Genomic DNA, 23,060 nt, shown 5'->3' on the forward strand with positions numbered 1-23,060 from the left:
GCAAGTCGGCTGACGCTCCCGGCTGAATAAACCTCTTCTTTCTTTTTTTTTTGTTTTGAGACAGAGTCTCACTCTATCACCCAGGCTGGAGTGCGGTGGCACGATCTCGGCTCACTGCAAGCTCCGCCTCCCGGGTTCACGCCATTCTCCTGCCTCAGCCTCCCTAGTAGCTGGGATTACAGGCACCTACCACCATGCCTGGCTAATTTTTGTATTTTTAGTAGAGACGGGGTTTCACCATAATAGCCAGGATGGTCTCGGTCTCCTGACCTCGTGACCCGCCCGCCTCGGGCTCCCAAAGTGCTGGGATTACAGGCGTGAGCCACTGTGCCCGGCCTCTTCCTTCTTTAATCTGGTGTCTGAGGAGTTTTGTCTGTGGCTCGTCCTGCTACAGCATCAGGAAGAGGTGGGCTTGTCTGCAGCCTGAGAGTCACAATCCCTTTCCACCTTCTGGGCCTGGAGCCAGCCTCCGCCTCTCTCCCTTCAAGAGCCTTGCCAAGGCTGGAGAGAGCGGGGGTCAGGCTCTGGGGCTAAGAGGCAGCCCCTTGCTTTTGCTGCCTGCTGCCTGCTGCCTGCTTGTGCTTGAAACTCTGCCCTTCCCACCCATGCCCGCCTTCCTTGCCTGCCAGCAAGCAAGGCAAGGTGGGCTAGGGGACTGGCTCCTCCCCTTGCTGCCTCCCAACTTTACTCTGCAGCTATCAGGATGAGGCTCCCAATCCTGTTCGCTGCCCTGCTCTGGTTCCGGGGTTTTCTGGCAGAGGTAAGGTGGGCATGGGGGAGCAGGCCAGCGGGTGGGGTCCCCGCTCTCCAGGGCACATCCAGATCTCCCAGCGCTCCTCGGGACCCCACAGCTGGTCTGCATTAGGCGAGGAGAGGCCACTCCCTTTCCACCAGGGCCAGCACGTGGCGCAGCGAGCGAGAACAGATTGCTCCAGCCTGCCTGGAGAACAGATGCGCCATGGGCATGCTTCCGGGAGATGCCCCTTGGCCATGTGTGGGGCTGTCAGACACGGCAACAGAGCCTTCTCTTGGATCCTGGCCCTGCCCCACCACCCAAAGTGCTGGGATTACAGGCGTGAGCCACCGCACCCGGCCTCTTCCTTCTTTAATCTGGTGTCTGAGGAGTTTTGTCTGCGGCTCGTCCTGCTACAGCATCAGGAAGAGGTGGGCTTGTCTGCAGCCTGAGAGTCACAATCCCCTTCCACCTTCCACCAGTAGCCTTCCCAGAGGCCTCTGTCCATTTCCCCAACTCTCTGCCTCCTTTCTTCCTGCAGGAGGAAGCATGCCTCTCCCTGGAAGGGAGTCCAGGCAGGGAGAGTGCAGGTAGGTGTCTTCAGCGGGGGAGGGAGTTCTGGGGGTGAAGAGTCGGGGGTGTGAGGCCAATTTTTCCACACCAGACCCTGGCTCTACCCTGGCTTTTTCTTTTTTTTGGCCTTCCATTCTTCTTTAAGGCAGAAAGGCTGTTAGTGGGTTCTGAAAGCACCTCCTTTTCCCCAGGCCCACCCCTGAACGTGAACATCACCAGCCAGGGGAGACCTACTAGCCTCTTTCTGAGCTGGGCAGCCCCGGGGCCAGGCAGGTTCACCCATGCCCTCCGCCTCACATGTCTGAGCCCCCTCAGCTCTCCTGAAGGGCAGCAGCTCCAGGCCCACACCAATGCATCCAGCTTTAAGTTCCAAGATCTGGTGTCAGGGGGTCGCTACCAGCTGGAAGTGACTGCCCTGCGACCCTGTGGGCAGAATGTCACCATCACCCTCACTGCTCGCACTGTATGAGGGCTGCAGGCTGAAGGGGCGGGGTTGTTGCCTGGGGTTGGGGCAGGAGGTGGCTGCCCTGGAGTGCTGGCAGGGAGCGCAACTTCTCTGTAGATCATGTCTAGTACAGTGACCTATTTAGGAGCACTACAGGCAGAGCGGTGATGCCCCTGTGGCACTGACCTTGGTGTCTCTGTCTTCCGCTGATGCAGCCCCGTCAACTGTCCATGGACTGCAGCTCCACATTCTGGGAGCCCATCCAGCCTGGAGGCCTCATGGGGTGATGCCCCCGGGAAGCAGGATGGCTACTGCCTTCTCCTCTACCACCTAGAATCCCAGACATTGGCACATAATATCTCCATGCCCCTGGGCACCCTGTCCTACAATTTTGGCAACCTCTTGCCAGGTATTGAGTATATTTTGGAAGTTAACACCTGGGCTGGCAACCTCCAAGCAACAACCAGCCTCCATCAGTGGACAGGTAAGGTGGGCACTTGGGCAAGGCCCCGGGTGGCAGCCAATCTGGGAGTGGTGGGAATGGTGGAAAGTCCAGAGCCTCATAGCCAGCCATGTTCCAATGTGCCTGGGCTTCTGTGCTCCCTAGTGCCAGGGTCCCTGCCAGCATCCTGCTCCAGGGGCCTTTCTTGAGCCTGACATTTTCTCTCCATCCTTCCTCCAGCCCCTGTGTCTCCAGATCACCTGGTACTGCATACCCTGGGCACCAGTGCCTTGCAAGCCTCCTGGAACGGCTCCAAGGGGGCTGCCTGGCTCCACTTGGTGCTCACAGACCTCCTAGGTGGCACCAATCTGACTGCAGTATTCAGACGGGGAGTCTCCCATCACACCTCCCTTCACCTGTCTCAGGGCCCCCCCTATGAGCTGACGCTCAGTGCTGCTGCCAGGCCCCATCGGGCAGTGGGGCCCAATGCCACAGAGTGGACCTGTGAGTGCCTGGGGGTAAAGGAGACACAGCTGAGACTTCCCATCTCTTCTCCGTGGGTCAAGTAGCCAGGATACAACTGGCGGGGCGGGGGGGTGTCTTTGGAGGCTCAGAGGGAGTGTGCCTCCAGTTGGCTGGTGGTGGGTACCTATCTGAGGGGATGATGGTGGTGACAGTAGTTATCAATTGAACCCTTCTGTGTGCTGGACTCTGTGCTAAGCTGGACTCTGGTTTTGTTTTGTTTTGTTTTGTTTTTGTTTCTGTTTTTTGAGACAAAGTCTCACTCTGTTGCCAGGCTGGAGTGCAGTGGCATGATCTCGGCTCACTGCAACCTCCACCTCCTGGGTTCAAGTGATTCTCCTGCCTCAGCCTCCCGAGTAGCTGGGATTACAGGCACGCACCACCACACCCAGCTAATTTTTGTATTTTTAGTAGAGACGGGGTTTCACCATGTTGGCCAGGATGGTCTCGATCTCTTGACCTCGTGATCTGCCCGCCTCGGCCTCCCAAAGTGCTGGGATTGCAGGCGTGCAGCACTGCACCCGGCCTGTGCTAAGCACCTTCTGTGTATTGTTTCATTGAATCCTCAGAACAGCCCTATGTAAGTCATATTATCCCCATTTTATGGCGGAGGGAGCTGAGGTTCAGAGAGAGGAAACCCAACCTTTCCTGCGTAGCCTGTGCGTGGGTGAGCTGACCTGAACCTGGGTTGGATGCCTGCAGAGCCCATGTAGGCTTTGCCATGGCTTCACTGACTTTTTACTTAGAGAAGCCCCATTGTGCAGTGGTTGAGGGCAGACAAACCAGACTGCCGTGTTCTGAGTTTTGTTTCTGCCACCCAGTGGCTATGCATCTCTGGACAAGTGCTTACCCTCTTTCTGTGTTAGTTTCCACATGTGGTATTCAGAACCATGCTGGCAGGTGCACATTTAATCACTTGATGTGTTTATTTCTGTTATTGTCCGTGGCCAGATGGTAGCAGCCAGATGCCGGTGTTCATCCAGAATGTGGCAAGTGGTGGCCGCTAACACTGGGACAAGGCGTGGCCCAGTGCATAGGGAATGAAGCCGGCACAGAACCAGTGGGATTTCTCCCCTCCGCTGTTTAGGTCTTCCTGCACATATTTCTTTATTTTCTCCACAGATACCTCTGCCCCCCCTCGACCTGGTTTGACTCCCCTGCCCGCCAAGCTCTGGGCAAGCTGGAAGGTAGGGCCAGGTGTGCAGGATGACTTCCTGCTGAAGTTAAGTGGGCCAGTGGAGAAGAATATCACTCTAGGCCCTGAGGCCCACAATGTCACATTCCCAGGGCCCCTGCCCACTGGGCACTATGCTCTGGAGCTGAAGGTCCTAGCGGGGCCATATGACGCCTGGGCCCAGGCCAGTGCCTGGCTGGACGGTGAGTCCCCGCTGGTAGGGAGCAGGGCAGTATCCTGCCCAGGGGCATCTGCATCCAGAGGCAGGTGAGGTCTCACTCTCTGGGGCCTGTCTCGCCTCCAGATTCCGCAGCCAAGTCCAGACAAGGCAGTGGTGCCAAGCGGCAGCTGGATGGGCTGGAGGCCTCCAAGGAGCCCGGGAGACGGGCCCTGCTCTACACAGAGGGAAACCCGGGCCTCCTTGGAAACATCTCTGTGCCACCTGGTGCCACCCACATCACCTTCTATGGGCCAGTGCCTGGGGCCCGCTACTGTGTGGACATTGCCTCATCTCTGGGAATCATCACTTACAGCCTCATGGGCCACAAAAGTGAGTGCCAGCCACTGTGTTCCCTGGCCCTGCAGCTGGAAGGCCTTGCCAGGGGAGGGAGGTCAGAGCAGGAGAGAGACTCAGAAGAGCTGGGCAGGGGGCACCAAAGGGCTGCAGGCAGTGTATGGACCCCTCACCAAACTGCCCTTCTCTTCAGGTCCCCTGGCACCACAGTCCCTGGAGGTTATCAGCAGGGGTGGCCCCTCTGACCTGGCCATTGTCTGGGCCCCAGCACCAGGACAGCGGGAAGGCTACAGGGTCGCTTGGCACCAGGAGGGCAGCCAGAGGTCACCGGGCAGTCTTGTTGACTTGGGCCCGGACAATTCCAGCCTGACTCTGAGGAGTCTGGTGCCCGGCTCCTCCTATGCCATGTCAGTGTGGGCCTGGGCAGAGAACCTTGGCTCTAGCATCCAGAAGATCCACCCCTGTACTTGTGAGTTCCTGGCTGCAGCCTGTGAGAGGCCAGCCCCAGGTGGTGGGCTGGGGGACTGGCATCCTCTACTCTGCACTTCTGTGTGCCATATATATATATGTTTATATATCTATAATTATATATTATATATAATTATATATTATATATAATATAATTATATCTATAATTATATATTATATATAATATAATTATATATCTATAATTATATATTATATATAATATATATTATATATAATATATAATTATATATAATTTATATAATATAATATATAATATATAATTATATATAATTATATAATATAATATATAATATATAATTATATATAATTTATATAATATAATATATAATATATAATTATATATATTTATATAATATAATTATATATAATATATAATTATATATAATTTATATAATATAATTATATATAATATATAATTATATATAATTTATATAATATAATTATATATAATTATATATTATATATAATTTATATAATATAATTATATATAATATATAATTATATATAATATATAATTATATATAATTATATATAATATATAATTATATATAATTTATATAATATAATTATATATTATATATATTATATATTATATATAATATTATATATAATTATAGATATATAAACATATATATATATTTTGAGATGGAATCTCGCTGTGTCACCCAGGCTGGAGTGCAGTGGTGGGATCTTGGCACACTGCAACCTTTAACCCCTGGGTTCAAGTGATTCTCTTGCCTCAGCCTCCCGAGTAGCTGGAATTACAGGCGCCTGCCACCTTGCCTGGCTAATTTTTGTATTTTTATTTTATTTTTTTAGTAGAGATGGGGTTTCACCATGTTGGCTAGGCTGATCTTGAACTTCTGACCTCAAACAGTCTGTTCACCTCGGCCTCCCAAAGTGCTGGGATTACAGGCATGAGCCACTGTGGCTGGACTGTGTGCCATATATATATATATATATATATATTTTTTTTTTTTTTTTTTTTTTTTTTTCCAAGACGGAGTTGCTCTATCACCCAGGCTGGAGTGCAGTGGCATGATCTCAGCTCATTGCAACCTCCGCCTCCAAGGTTCAAGCAATTCTCCTGCCTCAGCCTCCCGAGTAGCTGGGGTTACAGGTGCCTGCTACCACACATGGCTAATTTTTGTATTTTTAGTAGAGATGGGGTTTCACCATGTTGGCCAAGCTGGTCTCGAATTCCTGACCTCATGATCTGCCCACTTCAGCCTCCCAAAGTGCTGGGATTACAGGCGTGAGCCATCGTGCCCGGCCTTGTGTGCCATATTCTTGACTCAGAAGGCCATGAGTACAAGATGAGGCCTTTCATGAATCTATTTGCAAGCAATTTCTACCTCCTTCCATCTGGTTAGCTATATACCCACCATCTATCCACTGTCCATCCATCCATCTATCCATCCACCATCCATCCATCCATCCCACAATTATTTAATGAATGACTCCCATTTTCTTGGCATGAAACCAGTTGCTGAGGCCAAAAATGATGAATAGTCCTCAGTGCCTCAGGAAGACAAGTAAACAGATGGCATATGTGTGTGTGTGTGTGTGTGTGTGTGTGTATATATGATTTTATATATCATAATACCTGTTAATGCACTAATTGGAATGTGCATAATGTATTAGCTTGAACCATATGAAACTCCATTCCTATTGGTTAAAATGGCTGAATCTCAGGAATTTTATGTGGTTCAGTCTAATCTTCTAGGACTCACAGAAGGGACACCTGCTTAAAAAGTCAGAGGAGGTTTCCCGGAGAAGAGTGAGCTGAGTGAGAGCAGGCTGGTGGGGGGCAGGGTGGGGTCCTGCCCAGGGTCATCTGCTGGGGCTGGGGAGGATGGGTGGAGAGGACCTTAGCAGGAGGCTAAGTGTGCACCAAGGTCCTCAGGCCAGAGACAGACTGGACGGGAACTGAACGTCAGCAGGTGAGCTGGAGACCGGGGCCCTAAGAGGTGTGACAGGGTTGGCGCCATGCCCTCAAGGGGCGGACAGTCAGGGAGGAAGCGGGGCAGCAGGTGTCTGGGCAAGCATCTGTTTAAGAGGGTTTCCTGGGAAGGAAAGGAGGGTGGCCTTTGAGCCCTGTGGAAGTGGGGGTTTTAGGTGGGGAGGGCTGGGAGCTTGCCTGGAGACTGAGGAGATGGGTGTAGCTCATGGGGAGGAGAGGCAGGGAATTCAGGTGACTCCACATCTGTTTCTTCCTTGTCCTTCCCCCAGTCCCTGCTCCTCCTGCCAACTTGAGCCTGAACCTTGCCACCCAGCCTCCTGCCCTGAAGGCTTCCTGGAGTCCCCCACCAGTGGGGGAGGGATGGCTTCCAGGTGCAGCTTTATAGCCTGAGGCCTCTGACTCTGGAAAGGGCGGACACTCTGGCCGCAGAGGTCCAGAACTTCTCCTGGGCCTAGCTGTCACCGGGCACTGAGTTCCTGGTGCAGCTGACCACCCTGCGGGGGCTGGATCAGAGCAGCAGCACCAACGCCACAGGCTGGACACATGAGTGCCTTCTGATGGCCCTCCCCTACCTTGCTCCTTGGATTCCCAGGGGGCTGCATGTCCCCTTGGCCTCTGTGGTCTTCAGGCAGGCAGCTGGGCTGATGGTGGGGCATGTATCAGCTTAGGGTTGTTCCCTCGGTCCCTAGGCACTAGGTAACCCCACTCCCCTCACTGGGACTCCCCCAGGGCCCTGGCCCTTTAGGCCTTCTAGAAGGTGGGCAGATCCTTCTTAGAAGGCGTTTGCTCACTTGTACGGCGGCACTGGGCATGATATTCCTCATGCTCTCTCATGGCTGGCAGTAGGGAGGTGGGTGGTAGTGGGCCACAAGTGGTTAATCATAACAATAGCAAGGCTGGGCGCAGTGGCTCACGCCTGTAATCCCAGCACTTTGGAAGGCAGAGGCGGGTGGATCACTTGAGATCAGGAGTTTGAGACTAGCCTGGCCAACATGGTGAAACCCCATCTCTACTAAAAATACAAAAATTAGCTTGAGGTAGAGGTTGCAGAGCTGAGATTGCACCATTGCACTCCAGCCTGGGTGACAGAGTGAGACCCCCTCTCAAAGAAAAAAAAATCATAACAGCAATAGCTAGCGTTTACTGGGCACTCAGCCAGGTCTTCTACCTGTGTGCTCTCATTAAGTCTCATAACACCAAGCCTAGGACGTAGTTACTATGGTTTTCTCTGTTTCACAGATGAGGAGACTGAGGCAGAGAGACAGAAAATAACTTGCGCCAGGTTCCTCAGCACAGTGGGGAGTTGGGATTGAAGCAGGCAGTGTGACCAGCTCCATGCTCCTTGCCTTTACTCAAGTGCAGGACACACAGTGAGGTTTTCTCCTACCCGGAAGCCCTGGGGGCCTGTAGAGTTGGTTTGGGAAGCCCCTCTCATGAGGCCTGAGTCTTCCTGCTCTTTCTGCCTGCGGAGCCCTTGGTGGAGCTGAGGGATAGATGGGCCTCCCCACCCTGAGCGCATCCCTCTCCAATGTGGTGGCTCCTTCTACCCCTACCCTGGGCCTCCCCTCCCAGCCTCCTCCTGCCCCTGTCACTGTTGTCTGGATCTTGCCTGGAGTACAGGCTGGGAGGGAGCTGGAAGGAGGTCACCCTGGAAGTCAGGAGACCTGGGTTCTAGCTGGGGCTCAGCCCCTAGAGCAAACCTTGGCCCTCTTTGAGCCTCAGTGTCCCCATTTATAAAGAAGTGTTGACTTTTGGGCCAGGCTCATGTGGCTCCTGAGTTCAAGTGAGTTCAAGCTCTGAGGGTGGAGGGGTGCTGCCTGGGCCCCCAGATACCTGCCTGTCCATCCACATAAGGGCCTTTTTTTTTTTTTTTTTTTTTTTGAGACAGAGTCTCCCTCTGTCTCCCAGGCTGGAGTGCAGTGGCATGATCTTAACTCACTGCAACCTCTGCCTCCCAGGTTCAAGTCATTTTCCTGCCTCAGCCTCTGGAGTAACTAGAATTACAGGCACCTGCCACCACGTGCGGCTAATTTTTGTATTTTTAGTAGAGTTGGGGTTTCGCCATGTTGGCCAGGCTGGTCTCGAACTCCTGACCTCAAGTGATCCACCCACCTCAGCCTCCCAAAGTGCTCGGATTACAGGCATGAGCCACCACACGTGGCTGCACATAAGGGTCTTTTTTTTTTTTTTTTTTTTTTGAGCTGGAGTGTCACTCTGTTGCCCAGGCTGGAGTGCAGTGGCGCGATCTTGGCTCACTGCAACCTCTGCCTCCGGGTTCAAGCAATTCTTCTGCCTCAGCCTCCTGAGTAATTGGGATTACAGGTGCCCACCACCATGCCCAGCTAATTTTTGTATTTTCAGTAGAGACAGGGTTTCACCATATTGGCCAGGCTGGTCTTGAACTCCTGACCTCAGGTGATCCACCCGCCTCGGCCTCCCAAAGTGCTGGGATTACAGGCATGAGCCACCGCACCCGGCCATAAGGGTCTTTAAAAGCTCCTTTGTGCAGGGGCTGGGAGAAGGGACACAGTTTAACACTCATGCTGCCCAGCCTAGCTCTGCCTTGAGAGGGGTGGGATGTGGCGAGAGTAAGTGATTAGTTCATCTGTTCAACTCAGGCTTAGCCTGGACTCTGCTGCCTGGGGTCAGTGGCAGGCCCTGCTTTCCAGTGGAATCCTGGGCTCACAGGATGCCCTGAAATGGTGTCTCTAGCTCCTGGGTGTTTCTTGATAGGGCCAAGGATGGAGGGAGAAATTGGGGTTCTTTTGGAGAGGGGGGAGCCAGAGATTTAGTGTAGATCGTTTCTCCCTTTTCTCCACACCCTCCACATCTTGCTCTCCTCGCAGGCCCGCTTGCCCCTCCTCTGGTAAATGTGACGAGTGAAGGTCCCACCCAGCTCTGGGCATCCTGGGTCCATGCCCCCAGGGGCCGAGACAGCTACCCGGTGACCCTGTACCGGGCAGGCACCAGCGCCGTCGGAGCCAAGGTGGCCAGCACAAGCTTTTCAAGTCTGACTCCAGGCACGAAGTACAAGGTGGAGGTTGTCACGCAGGCTGGGCCCCACCACATTGCAGCAGCCAACACCTCTGGCTGGACCCATGAGGCATGGGGAAGGCAGCGATGCAGGAGAGGTGAGCAAGGCTGCCTCAGAGAGCCCCGGGTCTTCCCTCAGTGGTGCCCCCTTTAGCCCATTTTCCATCTCCACACCCCAGGGCCCTGCAGGGGTCAGCAGGCCCTGGCATCAAGCATGGGGCTCTGAGGACTGGGGCTGGCGGCCTGGCTGATTGTTCTTCCTCCCTCCTTCCCTCCTTCTGTAGCCCTGCACACACCCAGTGAGTTGGTGTCCATGCATGCGAGCACCGCTGTGGTCAACCTGGCCTGGGCCAGCAGCCCCTTGGGGCAGGGGATGTGCTACACCCAACTCTCAGAGGCGGGGCACCTCTCCTGGGAGCACCCTCTGGTGCCAGGCCAAGCCCACCTCATCCTGAGGGGCCTCACACCTGGATGCAACCTCTCCCTGTCAGTGCTGTGCCAGGCAGGGCCGCTGCAGGCGTCCACTCAGCGCGTGGTACTGCTTGTTGGTATGCTGACGTCAGCGGCGGGGAGGACGAAGGTGCCCTGAGATGCAGGTCTGATTCAGGTGGGCAGCACTGCCCGCTCGACTCTGAGCCACTGCTCTCTCCAGATGGATGCTGCACCCACTCTGCTCGGGGTTATGCCCCTTACGCTTCTCCAGGTGGGCAGTCATGTCCAAAGGAGATGTTTTTCCGCCTGGCTGATATCCCTTTCCATGGGCATAAATGTCCAGTCCCTCTATGCCTGCGGATTTCGAGAGCCCTTCACCCAGAAGCCCTGCTCATGGGGGTGCACTGACCCCCACCCAATGCAGAGCCTTTTGATTCCCACAGAGCCTGGCCCTGTGGAAGATGTGCAGTGCCAGCCTGAGGCCACCTTCCTGGCCCTGAACTGGACAGTGCCCGCCAGGGATGTGGGCACCTGTCTGGTGGTGGCAGAGCAGCTGGTGGCAGGAGGGAATGCTCACCTTGTGTTCCAGGCCGACACCTCCAAAAATGCAGTCCTGTTGCCCAACCTGGTGCCTGTCACTTCCTATCACCTCAGCCTCGCTGTGCTGGGCAGGAACGGTCTGTGGAGTCGGGTGGTCACTCTGGCATGTTCCACATCTGCCGAGGGTAGGCAGCTTCTGCTGCCTCTGAGGCCCCCTCAGTTCCGTGTCTTCCTGGGGATGTCACTCCTCTAGTCCTGGCTGCCTGGGTTTTTCTCTGTTCCCCAGGGCCCAGCCCTTTCCTCTGGCCCTGATCTTGCTAGTTTGATACCATAGTTTTGAGCCTTGTGTCCTGGTACCCTAGCCCAGGAACCTTCTAGTCCTTATTTAATTATATCCATTAGCCCAAAGTGTTGGGATTACAGGCGTGAGCCACTGCACCCAGCCTTGGTTCGTTAGCCCCAGGCACTGGGGCTATGAAGGCATGGTCCCTGCCCTTGAAGATGGGTTGCTAGGCACCCAGTCAGGTCCTCACTCTCCTCTCCATCCCCAGCCTGGCATCCCCCAGCGTTAGCCCCGGCCCCTGAGCTGGAGCCTGGGACAGAAATGGGAGTGATGATCCCGCGGGGTATGTTTGGCAAGGATGATGGGCAGATCCAGTGGTACGGCATCATTGCCACCACCAACATGTCACATGAGTCCTGGGCCTAGGAGGGGATGGGGAGACCCTAGCCGTGGCATGGAGTAGGTGATGATGGGGGTTAAGATGGGGACTGAGACTGGTAAGATGAAATATGTGAGGCTGGTGTCAGTCTCGGAGCAGAAAGGGGGACCAGAACGTTCTGGAGGAGAGTGCTAATATGAATGGTGGGTACACGATAGAGAGATAGGGTAGCCCCTCTGTGGCAGGAAGAGAGGCCTCGGCCCCACTGCCCACCCTGCTCTTCCCGTTCCCCACTCCTCTCAGTGCCTCAGCCTTCCTGGGAAGCCATCAACCACATGTGGCATGACCACTACTACAGAGGACATGACTCCTACCTGGCCATCCTGCTCCCCAACCCCTTCTACCCGGATCCCTGGGCTGTGCCGAGATCCTGGACAGTGCCTGTGGGTACAGAGGACTGTGGCCACACCAAAGAGATATGCAACGGGCAGCTCAAGCTAGGTTCCCAGTATAGGCGAGCACTAAGGCTGAAGGGAGTGATGAAACTTACAAGTTTCATTTGTGGTTCGTAAAGAAACAAGAGATCTGGACTGACTTATAAACAGAATGCATGTGATGGTCCATTAAGTCATTTTGACTGAGCTTCCTGGCAGACAAGGCAAAAACCTGAACACCCATCTGTTACACGGTTCTTTTTTCAAAAAGGAAAGTGGAGTGTGTTGTTTCAGCTTGCCAGGGCAGTTCCCAGGATATCCAGGTACTTATTTTTTTCTTTTTCTTTTTTTATTCTCCTTTCCTTTTCTTTTTTTTGTTTTTGAGGCAGTCTTATTCTGTCACCCAGGCTGGAGCGCAGTGGCTGATCTCGGCTCACTGCAACCTCTGCCTCTCAGGTTCAAGCGATTCTCCTGCCTCGGCCTCCCGACTAGCTGAGACCACAGACACAGGTCAACATGCCCAGCTAATTTTTGTATTTTTAATAGAGACAGGGTTTCACCATGTTGGCCAGGCTGGTCTCCAACTCCTGACCTCAGGTGATCCGCCTGCCTCGGCTTCTCAAAGTGCTGGGATTACAGGGGTGAGCCACTGTGCCAGGCTCAGGTACCTATTTCTAGAGCTTCCTCTTACTGTCAGGCACAGAAGATGGGGCTTGCTGTGAGATGGCAGATAGCATGACACGTAACCTCTGCCAAGCTTGCCCAGCCTGCCTTATTTTGTTATGGTTCTGTTCTGTTTTGTTTTAGGCTTTTAGCAACCTGTGGCTGTGCTTTTTAGCTTCTGTCTCTAGTAATAAGCAGACGAGGGATGAGGAAGGGGCTTTACTGGCCCAACCAGAAATGGAAACTAAGAACCCATGACTGCCTCTTCTCTCCCCCGGACACCCCTGCCAGGGAGCGCTTGCTATCTGAGTGTCTATTGCTCGCGACCCAGATTGCTGGGAGGGACTTCACCTTATTTGCCTGCCCTTCCCCAACAAAAGGTCCTGTTTCTCTGCCCAGGTTCAGCGTTGCAGCCTTTACCAGGTACAGCCCTCCTGAGACCATTAACTCCTTCTCAGCCTTCTCGGGTAGGGTGGGCACTGGGCAAGGGCTCCAGCTGGGCCCTGGAGATGGGGAGGAGAGCTGGGAACCCTCTTGTGTGGCTCATCACCAACCAGTAGCAGGAGGGACTGAGCTTAGACTACTGGGATAACAAGTCCTGCCGAGCAGAGTGGGGAGACCCAGAGCCAGCGACGAAGGTGCTCTTGGCACCAGACTCGGCCTGGGCGAACTGAGAGTGCAGGCAGGAGAGTCTGAGGCATTGCGGTGGTCTGCTGCTGTCCACACTCACGCTGCCCCTCTATACCCGGATGCTCCCAGGCCATCCGGGCTCTAGAACAGCTCTGACCAATAGAAATGTAAGGCAAGCCACATAAGTAATTTAAAATGTCTTTTAAAAACTACATTGAAAAGGTCAAAAGAAACAGGTGAAATTAATTTTAGTGACTTTTTATTTAAACCAAAATATCTAAAATATCAACAGGTGACCCATTAAAAACACTTTTTTTTAATGTTTTTATTTTTTTGAGACAGAGTCTTTCTCTGTTGCCCAGGCTGGAATGCAGTGGCATGATCTCGGTTCACTGCAACCTCTGCCTCCCAGGTTCAAGTGATTCTCCTGCCTCAGCCTCCTGAGTAGCTGGAATTACAGGCTAATTTTTGTATTTTTTAGTAGAGACAGGGTTTCACCGTGTTGGCCAGGCTGGTCTTGAATTCCTGACCTCAAGTGATTCACCTGCCTTGGCCTCTCAAAGTGTTGGCATTACAGGTGTGAGAAACTGCAGCTGGCCAAAAACACTTCTAATGAGATATTTTACATTCTTTTCTTTCTTACTATGTCTTTGAAATCTGGTGTGTATTTTACACTTACAGCAAATCATAAGTTGGAATTGCCACATTTCAAATGTTCGGTAGCTGCCGTATAGGACAGTGCGGTTCTAGAAAGTCCAGGAAACCAGGCCTCTGCCCTCTTTCTTTTCTTTTGATGGTGTCAGGGAAGGGAGGTGGGGTCTTTGGGGCATCCTGAGGAGCTGGGTGCAGGGAGGGGTTGCTGGGTGTTCCCAGTTCCCATCCAGATGTTCCCCCCAGGCAGCCATCTCTGGCCTCAGTTTGATATCTGGGACTACTAGTGTAGATGGGGTTTGTCACTGTACCCTTCACCCAGAGGGTCCCAGGTCTAGCAGAGCTTGGCATGACCTCGCAGGGTTTGTGGGACAAGGCTGCTGTGTTCCACTCTTCCCTTCTCTCCACAGAGCCCTGGGCCGGTGTCTCCCTGGCATCAGTGCCCCTGCCGGTAATGGAGGGCCTCGTGGTGGGCTGTGTCCTCACCATCTGTGCTGTGCTGGGCCTGCTGTGCTGGAGGCGGGTGAAGGGGCAGAGGTGAGTGGGAGGGAAGGCTGGGGGCTGGGGAGAACTTCATGACCAGAGTGGGCCAGCTCCCTGCCCCTGGGGCTGCCTCCCACGTGCCCCCTCACCCTTTGCAGGGCAGGGAAGAATCCATTTTCCCAAGAGCTGACAGCTTACAACCTGCGGTGAGTGCATTTTCCTGCACCTCCCTGCCTTGTGGGGGCCATGGTGGCATTGCTGAAGCTCCTCTGGCCCCCATTCTGCTGTGACTGTGTCCCAGTCAGGGGGTTGCAAGGCTCTGCCAGACCCCCATTCTTCCTCAGCCACCACACCTCCCCAAATGCCTTTTCAATGCCTGGACCTCTCGCTCCCCACTCCTCTCTGCCCATGTGGCCTCTTCCTCCTCCAAATGCACTCATACATAAGTCAGGGCTTTCCAGAGAAACAGAACAAACAGGGTGTATGTGGAGAGAGGAGAGAGGAGAGCAGGGAGAGAGGAGGAAGGAGAGCAGGGAAAGAGAGGACAGGAAGGTGGGGGAGATGAGAGGAGAGGAAAGGGAGAGAGGGGGAAGAGACAGATGTTGAGGAATTGGCTCATGTGATTGTGGAGGCTTGGTGAGTCCAGGAATCTGGGGTAGACCAGCAGGCCAAAGGCTCTGGGAAGCGTCTGGAGGCAGCCTGCTAATAGGATTCCTTCTTGCTCAGAGAAGGTCAGTCTTTGTTCTATGAAAGCCTTCGACTGATTAAATGAGGCCCAGCCACATTAGAGTTTACTCAGTGAACCACTTTAAATGTTAATCTCATACAAAAAACACCTTCATGGAAACATCCAGAATAATGTTTGACCAACTTTCTGGGCACTGTGACTCAACCCAGTTGACACCATATTAACCATCATGCATGCCTTCTCCAGTTCCCACCTTCTCCAGTTCCCACCTTCTCCAGTTCCCACCTTCTCCCTGACCAACCTCGTAGACGGTATCAGGCCATAGCTCTTTTCCTCATGTCAACCTCCTGTGGGGCTGACATTAACTGAGCACTGGCTGTGCACAGGAGCCCTCCTCAGGACCTAGGGAGGGAGACTGTGAGACTCACGCGTGTGTGTGCACATGCGTACATGTCCCCTGTCCCTTCTCTGTTCTTCCACATTGGTGGTTTGCAGCCCAGGCTGGGCGTTGGAGGAGCTTGCTGGAAATGCACGCTGCTCCACACCCAGGGTGGAATTCAGGATCTGCGTTTCCAACAGGCCCCCAGGTGATCAGGTTGTGCTGCCAGGACTCTGAGGTCCCCTGCTTTGTACCCGTCACCCAGGGGAGGGCAGGGCAGGACTCTGCAAACCTAAGGCTGTGGGGGCTACCCTCTCCACCTCCCACCAGGTAGACCCACCGGCCCATCCCTATCCACAGCTTCAGGCAGAGCTATGAGGCCAAGAGTGCTCACGCACACCAGGCTTTCTTTTTGCAATTCGAGGTAAGGCCTTTACCACCCTTGGGCTCAGAGGAGGGAAGACTGGGACCTGTCTGAAGGTCTGGAGGGAACTCCCAGTTGCACACTTGCCCCCACTGCCCCTCACCTGGCATGGGGTGAGATGGGTCTACTTCAGCAACCAGTGCCTGCCCTTGATCCCTGCAGGAGCTGAAGGAGGTGGGCAAGGAGCAGCCCAGACTGGAGGCTGAGTACGCTGCCAACACCACCAAGAACCATTACCCACATGTGCTTCCCTGTGAGTGCTGGGGGCAGGAGAGGAGGCATGGCAGAGGGCTAGGGCTTGGCATGGGGGCAGGGGGTTTCATGTGCCCAGCCCTGAATGCACAGCTTTCACTCTCTGCAGACGACCACTCCAGGGTCAGGCTGACCCAGCTGGAGGGAGAGCCTCATTCTGACTACATCAATGCCAACTTCATCCCAGTAAGGGCCACCAGTGAGGCTGTCCATGGGATCTGGGATCTGCTCGGGAGATGGGCTGGTTTGCAGGCCACACTGGCCTTTGTTAGCTGTAACAGCTCTCTAGGAGATCACCAGCTTGGGCTTCATGAGCTCAATCCAGCAGGTGTCTAGCAAGGGTCTACTGTGTGCTGGGCTCTGTGCTGGGCCTGCAGGAGGCAGAGCTGAGTTAGCCACATTCCCCACCTTCAAAGGAGCATGTGGGCATGTGTGTGACATTCACCACACACTGTGACAAGGGCTGTAATAGAGGAAAAAACACTGTACTCAGGGCACATGGAGGAAGGAGAAATTTCATCCACCTGAGGAATTAAGAAAGGCTTCCCAGAGGGGACATTTGGTTTATTGAAGGATGAGTAACATTTTGATAAGTGATGAAAGAGGGAAGGACATTCTATTGACTGGAAGGAGCAGCCAGAGAACAGCCAAGCAGTAACGTTCAGGCAGTGTGTGTGTGTGTGTGTGTGTGTGTGTGTGTGTGTGTGTGTGTGTGTGTGGTGGGGGGTGCGTAGGGGTGAGGGAGTGGGGAGGTGCTGGGTGGTGGGAGATGTAATGGGAAAGATAGCCTGGGGCTGAATGAAGGAGGGGTTGATTGTTAGGCTGAGGACTTTGGACTCTATTTGGTGGGCAATGGGGAGCCACAGAAGATTTTTGAGCATGGAAGAAACACAGTTTGGTTTTAGGAAGGTGACTCTGGGTGGGTGAAGAGGGTGGTCTAGGTGGGCTATTTAACTCATGTCAGTAGCTTGTTGTTTTCATCGGGGTTTTTCTTGTCCCTTTGGGGTGGGACAGGGACGGGGGTGGTGTCTCTGAAGTCAGCCCTCCTGGTTTGCATTCTGGGTGTACACGTGTTCGTGTGTTTGCACACATGTAGGTGTGTGCACAGCATCCTCACTCCTGGAGGTCAAATATTGGAAATCTGCTGTGTGTTTGACACCAAACATCGCCCATTAACATGTTCCTGACCTCTGCCCCCTACACCCCAGGGCTACACCCACCCACCCACCCACAGGAATTCATTGCCTCTCAGGCGCCTCTCAAGAAAACGCTGGAGAACTTCTGGCGGCTGGTGCGGGAGTAGCAGGTCCGCATCATCATCATGCTGACCGTCGGCATGGAGAACAGGAGGGTGATGCGCCTTACAGGCTCCTGGAAAGGCCACCAGGTGGCGCACGTTCTCCTTGTGGGAATGGCCCCGTTGGCATCTTCCCGCAGGGAAGGCGGGGCAGACTGGAGTGAGGCCAATCAGGCCTGGAGGGTGGTGGAACCACCTCCCACCCAGACCCAGGATGGGGTGGTCCCTGGGATGGGGAGGCAGTGGGAGGAACCAGGTATGTAAGCTCCAGCTTGGCTTAGTTTCTACGGGCTTCTTGCCCTGGGCAGAGAAGGCACCAAGGGGTAGGGACTGCCCAGGGCCGGTGTCAAAGGTACCATCATGGATCCTTCCTTTCGATAAGCCTGGCAGATGCAGGGCCCTGGGACACGCAGAGAGGCTGCCGAGTCTGTCCTCTTGCTGGAGCAGTGAGCCCAGGGCTGCTGGCCGCGGAATAAGGGCTGTTCTGTTTGGCACAGCAAGCTGGTGGCTGACTCAGAATCCTGAGGGTCATGAGAGGTCTGAGGGCAAGGGTGCCGGAGCCCAGGCAAGGGAGAGCAGCTCCTGGAGGAGGGAGCCTTGGAGCTGGGTCATTACAGAGAGCAGAATCCCAGCAGGGTGTCAGGGACCAGAAAGGTGGGCAGGGAGGGGTGGGACTGGGTAAAGCAGGGGGCAGCAGTGATAGGGCTGGGCTCACAGCCACCCTTCCCCTCTCCAACCTTCTGGTCCCAGGTGCTGTGTGAGCATTACTGGCTGACCGACTCTACCCCGGTCACCCATGATCACATCACCATCCACCTCCTAGCCGAGGAGGCTGACGATGAGTGGACCAAGCGGGAATTCCAGCTGCAGCACATGCGTGCCCCAAGGATGAGGGGGTGGGACAGGCATTAGAGCTGAGACCCCTGAGAAGGTTGCCTCACTTCCTGGGTCCCTGGAGCCCTCTCTTTCGGAGGACCACAAGTACTCAGCCACCACCCAGGGAAGTGTGTGTTAGGGAAGGGGTAGGGAGGTACAGAGAAGGTTAAGGGCTTATCTGAGGCTGCACAGTGAGGGAAAGGAAGAGCACGAGAGACATGATGGTTCCTGACCTCCCCCATGCCAGCTCCGGGCTCCTGCCTCACCCCATGCCCCCTGTGCCCAACTGCCTTCCCAGGTTGTGCACTCCTGGGACAGGAAAGCAAGGGACCCGAATCACTCCTCTGCTTGGGCACTCTATATGCAGAGATTACCCAGGAGGCTAGAGAAGGACCCGAGGGCTCAGGAAGCATCCTGATGAGAGAGACATAGCTGCCACGCTCAAGGAACAGTTGGTCTGCATCATCCCTGCCCTTAGGCAGCTGGGGAAGAAAGTGTGAGGTCTGGGCCATGGGAGCCTAGAGTTAGGAAGATAAGGAGCAGCAGCAGGGCCCCTCTGCCCCCTTGCCCCCTTGCCCCCTTGCCCCCTTGCCCCCTTCCCACCCCCTTCTCAGGTTGTCCAGCAACAGCAGCGGAGGGTGGAGTAACTGCAATTCACCACCTGACCTGACCACAGCATCCTCAAGGCCCCCAGCTCCCTGCTTACCTTTATGGAGCTGGTACAGGAACAGGCAAGGGCCACCCAGGGCATGGGACCCATCCTGGTGCACTGCAGGAGGGCAGGTGAGTGCATAGGGTGGAGAGCCCCCTGCCTGGCCTGGAGGTGTCGGGGGCTCTCGGACTGTGGGGAGAGCTGGGGACATGGGCAGCCTCTTCACCCATTCAGTTCCTCAGGGGCTGTCCCCGCAGTGTGGGCATGGGCCAGACGGGCACCTTCGTGGCCCTGTTGAGGCTGCTGCAGCAGCTGGAGGAGGAGCAGATGGTAGATGTGTTCCATGCTGTGTTTGCATTCTGGATGCACGGGCCCCTCATGATCCAGACCCTGGTGAGGGCCTCGCAGGCTGGGCTGGGCAGCTGGGACCCTGAAGGAGTGGGAGGGAGGTGGGTGGCCACAGGGCTACAAGAGGGACCAGGAAAGAGAGCTCATGGGGCATACAGAAGACCCTGGGGAGAGGGTTTCAAACACAACACCATCCTATCTGGGCTGTGCTCCCTATTCTGTGAAAGGGGAGGTGGGACAGGACCCTGTCAGCTTTGACACCATAGAGCGGTGGAGGGAAGGTTTCTCAGTGGCTCCCTCTCCCCTCCTACCCGATCCCTGCCTTGCTGGTCAGGGCCTGGAAAATCTCCCTGCAGGCCCCCCTCGCTCCTCGCTCCTCGCTCCTCGCTCCTCGCTGAGCAGCCTGATGCCCTTCCCCCTGGCAGAGCCAGTACGTCTTCCTGCACAGCTGCCTACTGAACAAGATTCTGGAAGGGCCCTTCAACATCTCTGAGTAAGTCCCAGCTTCCCTGTGCCTCCCACAGGCAGGCTCCCTGCTCCTGTTCATGGGCAGAGCCGAGCAGACTAGAACAGGGAGCTGGGGAACCTTGAGTGCCTTCTCCCTCTCCAACCCCCCCACCAGGTCTTGGCCCATCTCTGTGATGAACTTCGCACAGGCGTGTGCCAAGAGGGCAGCCAATGCCAACGCTGGCTTCTTGAAGGAGTACGAGGTACACTTCAGGCCAGGAAGTGGGTGACAGCCAAGGGCAGCCTTCCCCTGCTGAGCCAGCCCTGCAGTGGGACCTCCCAGCCTCAGGGTACCCATCTCCTTCCCAGCTCTTGCTGCAGGCCATCAAGGACGAGGCTGGCTCTTACGCACCCCTGCCTGGCTATGAGCAGGACAGCCCCATCTCCTGTGAGTCTCACTGTGGACCCTGTGGAGGGGCAGGGGGCCAGCATGGGCTGGGGGCCTCTGGCAGCTTCACCCTCACTGTCTTCCCTCAGATGACTGTTCTCAGGGGCAGTTTTCTCCAGTGTAGGAGAGCACCCCTGACGACATGCCTGAAGCCTGGCTCTTCCCTGTGAGATGATGCTGGTTTTGCCACTGTTTCCTGCCCTCTCTGACCACCTGTACTTCCCGGGCTGGGGCTGCTGGGGGCTCCCAGAGTTGTGGGCTGGGCAGGGGACACCCTCAGTCTCTGGAAGCCAATGAGCTGTGCTCTGCAGGGTGGGCCCTCTGGCTGTGATCATATGGTGCTGACTGGCCTCGCAGGGCCAGAGGAGCTCTGGGAGCTGGTGTGGCAGCACGGGGCTCATGTGCTTGTCTCTCTGTGCCCACTCGATGCCATGGAGAAGGTGAGAGTGCAGAGGACAGAGGAAGGGAGGCTCAGGAGTTAGGGCTGAGGTTGGAGGCGGGTAGTTTGTGGTGCTGTCTAACCAGGGCAGGGGCAGAGATCTCAGGAAGTTGCCTGAGCAGCCCTAACTTGGTCCCAGCCACAGGAATTCTGGCCAATGGAGATGCAGCCCATAGTCACAGACATGGTGACAGTGCACTGGGTGGCCGAGAGCAGCACAGTGGGCTGGCTCTGTGCCCTCTTCAGGGTCACACATGTAGGTGTTGGGGCCACAGGGCATGGGGTGGTGTGTGGGAGAAGAGTCCTGTGTGGGCTCCCTCTGCCCTCTCCAGCACCAATGCCGATCATGTCTTTGCCCGAGGGGGAGAGTAGGAAGGAAAGGGAGGTGCAGAGACTGCAGTTTCCATACCTGGAGCCTGGGCATGAGCTGCCCGCCACCACCCTGCTGCCCTTCCTGGCTGCTGTGGGCCAGTGCTGCTCTCGGGGCAACAGCAAGAAGCCGGGCACACTGCTCAGCCACTCCAGGTGTTGCTGGACAATGGTCTTGGGGGAGTGGACACTGGAAGCCCCTCCCTGCCCCTCTGGCATAGCCTCAGATCTCCCTGGGCCCTGCTTGGGTTATGGGCCAAAAGGACACAGTCTCACAATGCCCCTGTCTTCCCCACACCCTACCCTGTCCTCAGGAATATGGTGGGAATTTACCGCCTCCCTCCCTGGGCCCAGGCTGGCTGGCTGGCTGACCAAGTGTTCGGTGTCCCTTCTCAGTCCCTGCACCCAGGTTGGATTTTTGCAGATCCCCGGACACCCCCGCCACATCCCCGGACACCCCTGCCACACCCCCTTTAGGTACCTCATCCAACTCTAGGTCAGTTGCAGCAAGGGTGCGACCCAGCTGGGCACCTTCCTGGCCATGGAGCAGCTGCTGCAGCAGGCAGGGTCTGAGTGCACCGTGGATGTCTTTAACGTGGCCCTGCAGCAGTCTCAGGCCTGTGACCTTATGACCCCAACGCTGGTGAGAGGCGATGGGGCTGGGGTGGGGGCGTGGGGGCTCAGCTGTGGGAAGGGGTGGGAGGTGAGGGAGCTTCTGCCCAGGCCTCTAGGCAGCACCACCCGGGTAGCCACCAGGTGGCGCTGTGGACCTCTGTGCATTCTCCCAGATGGAGCCCTAGGGGTTGGGACACACAAGGGAGCCCTTTTCTGTTAGATTGGGGCAGGCGGGGCGAGCCTCCTAACCCTATGTCCATCTCCAGAAGCAGTATATCTACCTCTACAATTGTCTGAACAGCGCACTGGCAGACGGGCTGCCCCTGAGTCGGCACTGGTCACTGTGCAGGAGAGGTTTGTGCCCTGTGGGATGGGGACAGCATTCCTGACACATCCACGTGGGCCTGGGCTCCCCAGAAGGGCGGCCTCCACTGGGCCCTGTGCTGCAAAGGTAAAGGGTCTTGGAATAAAGACCTGTGGCCAAGCGTGAAGCTCAGTGTGTTCTGTCTGTCCGTCCTCAGACCTGGGCCCCGTGTGTGGGTCTTGTGGGCAAACGTGGAGCCGGGATGGAAGCTAGGACCTGGAGTCTGGTTGAACTAGGTGACCTATGGCCCCTATGGTGTTGGTTTTTCCCCTGAAGCAATCCTCTCCCTGCTAATCCTTCAGTTTCTAAATATCCTCAGACTTTGGTCTCTCCACGTCTAGTTTCCTGTGGTGCTAAGCCCTGGATTCAGAATCACAGCTCCAAATTGTTCGTCCTCTGCCCCACCACCCTGTACGCACCACGCTGTATGCAGTAGGGTTTATCCTGTTTCCCACTTCCCTTCTCCTGCCATCCCCAGCCTTCTCTACCTGCCAGAGCCCCCAGGGGCCACCCTCAGCCCCCACCAGGATGGAGGTGCCAGAGCTACCCTGTTACTCAGAAGGCAGGCGCTGGAGGCACCCCTCAGGCGGAGGTGCCAAGTTTTCCCTGCTCCTTTGCTCTCTCCTCCTTCCTCCCCTCCACATAGGAGGAGGTGGAGGAGAAAGCAGGGAGGGCATATGGAGAAAGGAAAAACCAGGAGGAGCAGCAGAGACCAGAAAAGAGGGCGGGGAGGCAGCTGTCTGTCCCACACACTCTAGGACTGCACTGCATACCATGTGCGTGATTGCTGGTGGCCACATGAGCTCCTGCCTCCCTCCCTGGTCAGGCTGGGAGTTTCCAGGTGCAGTGCCTGATGCTGGACCTTAACTGCCCCTGGTGGAAGGCCCTGGGAGGACACAGAGAAAACCTGGACAGATCAGAGCAAGAGTCCCTGAAGTGGAGTTGGGTCTCCCCAAGGGGAAGAGGGGAGAGCTCTTTGGCCAACCTGAGTTCCTACTAAGGTGCAACGGGTCAGAAGTCAGTGGAGGGTCCTTCTCAGGGCTGGTTGAAGAAGGGTACAGAGGTCGTGCTGGCTGCTC

The 23,060-nt window shown here is 55.3% G+C and overlaps 1 pseudogene across 1 annotated transcript, besides 5 other annotated features; it reads left to right on the plus strand.

The window, feature by feature from the left end:
- Window positions 1-703: 703 nt before the first annotated feature.
- Window positions 704-22,102, plus strand: PTPRVP (protein tyrosine phosphatase receptor type V, pseudogene; annotated as a pseudogene). Its single transcript, NR_002930.2, has 22 exons — window positions 704-1,164; window positions 1,275-1,323; window positions 1,967-2,235; window positions 2,434-2,697; window positions 3,838-4,092; window positions 4,194-4,439; window positions 9,702-9,986; window positions 10,173-10,591; window positions 12,764-13,042; window positions 14,311-14,437; window positions 14,542-14,589; window positions 15,781-15,874; window positions 16,037-16,127; window positions 16,220-16,312; window positions 17,335-17,432; window positions 18,914-19,082; window positions 19,186-19,344; window positions 19,656-19,792; window positions 19,922-20,009; window positions 20,116-20,194; window positions 21,480-21,645; window positions 21,884-22,102. The product of NR_002930.2 is annotated as a protein tyrosine phosphatase receptor type V, pseudogene (transcript).
- Window positions 16,138-16,637: an enhancer, noted in NCBI's record as "H3K4me1 hESC enhancer chr1:202152613-202153112 (GRCh37/hg19 assembly coordinates)". NCBI's record gives its function as "activates a minimal SCP1, AML or CMV promoter by ChIP-STARR-seq in naive H9 embryonic stem cells {active_cell/tissue: H9 hESC(naive)}" and the evidence as "EXISTENCE:reporter gene assay evidence [ECO:0000049][PMID:30033119]".
- Window positions 17,332-17,861: an enhancer, noted in NCBI's record as "H3K4me1 hESC enhancer chr1:202153807-202154336 (GRCh37/hg19 assembly coordinates)". NCBI's record gives its function as "activates a minimal SCP1, AML or CMV promoter by ChIP-STARR-seq in naive H9 embryonic stem cells {active_cell/tissue: H9 hESC(naive)}" and the evidence as "EXISTENCE:reporter gene assay evidence [ECO:0000049][PMID:30033119]".
- Window positions 17,694-17,743: an enhancer, noted in NCBI's record as "active region_2330". NCBI's record gives its function as "activates an Ori minimal core promoter by ATAC-STARR-seq in GM12878 lymphoblastoid cells {active_cell/tissue: GM12878}" and the evidence as "EXISTENCE:reporter gene assay evidence [ECO:0000049][PMID:35858748]".
- Window positions 17,862-18,391: an enhancer, noted in NCBI's record as "H3K4me1 hESC enhancer chr1:202154337-202154866 (GRCh37/hg19 assembly coordinates)". NCBI's record gives its function as "activates a minimal SCP1, AML or CMV promoter by ChIP-STARR-seq in naive H9 embryonic stem cells {active_cell/tissue: H9 hESC(naive)}" and the evidence as "EXISTENCE:reporter gene assay evidence [ECO:0000049][PMID:30033119]".
- Window positions 21,662-21,711: a silencer, noted in NCBI's record as "silent region_1700". NCBI's record gives its function as "represses an Ori minimal core promoter by ATAC-STARR-seq in GM12878 lymphoblastoid cells {active_cell/tissue: GM12878}" and the evidence as "EXISTENCE:reporter gene assay evidence [ECO:0000049][PMID:35858748]".
- Window positions 22,103-23,060: the final 958 nt, after the last annotated feature.

Source organism: Homo sapiens, chromosome 1, assembly GCF_000001405.40.
Source record: "Homo sapiens chromosome 1, GRCh38.p14 Primary Assembly".
Classification (NCBI taxonomy): Eukaryota; Metazoa; Chordata; class Mammalia; order Primates; family Hominidae; genus Homo; species Homo sapiens.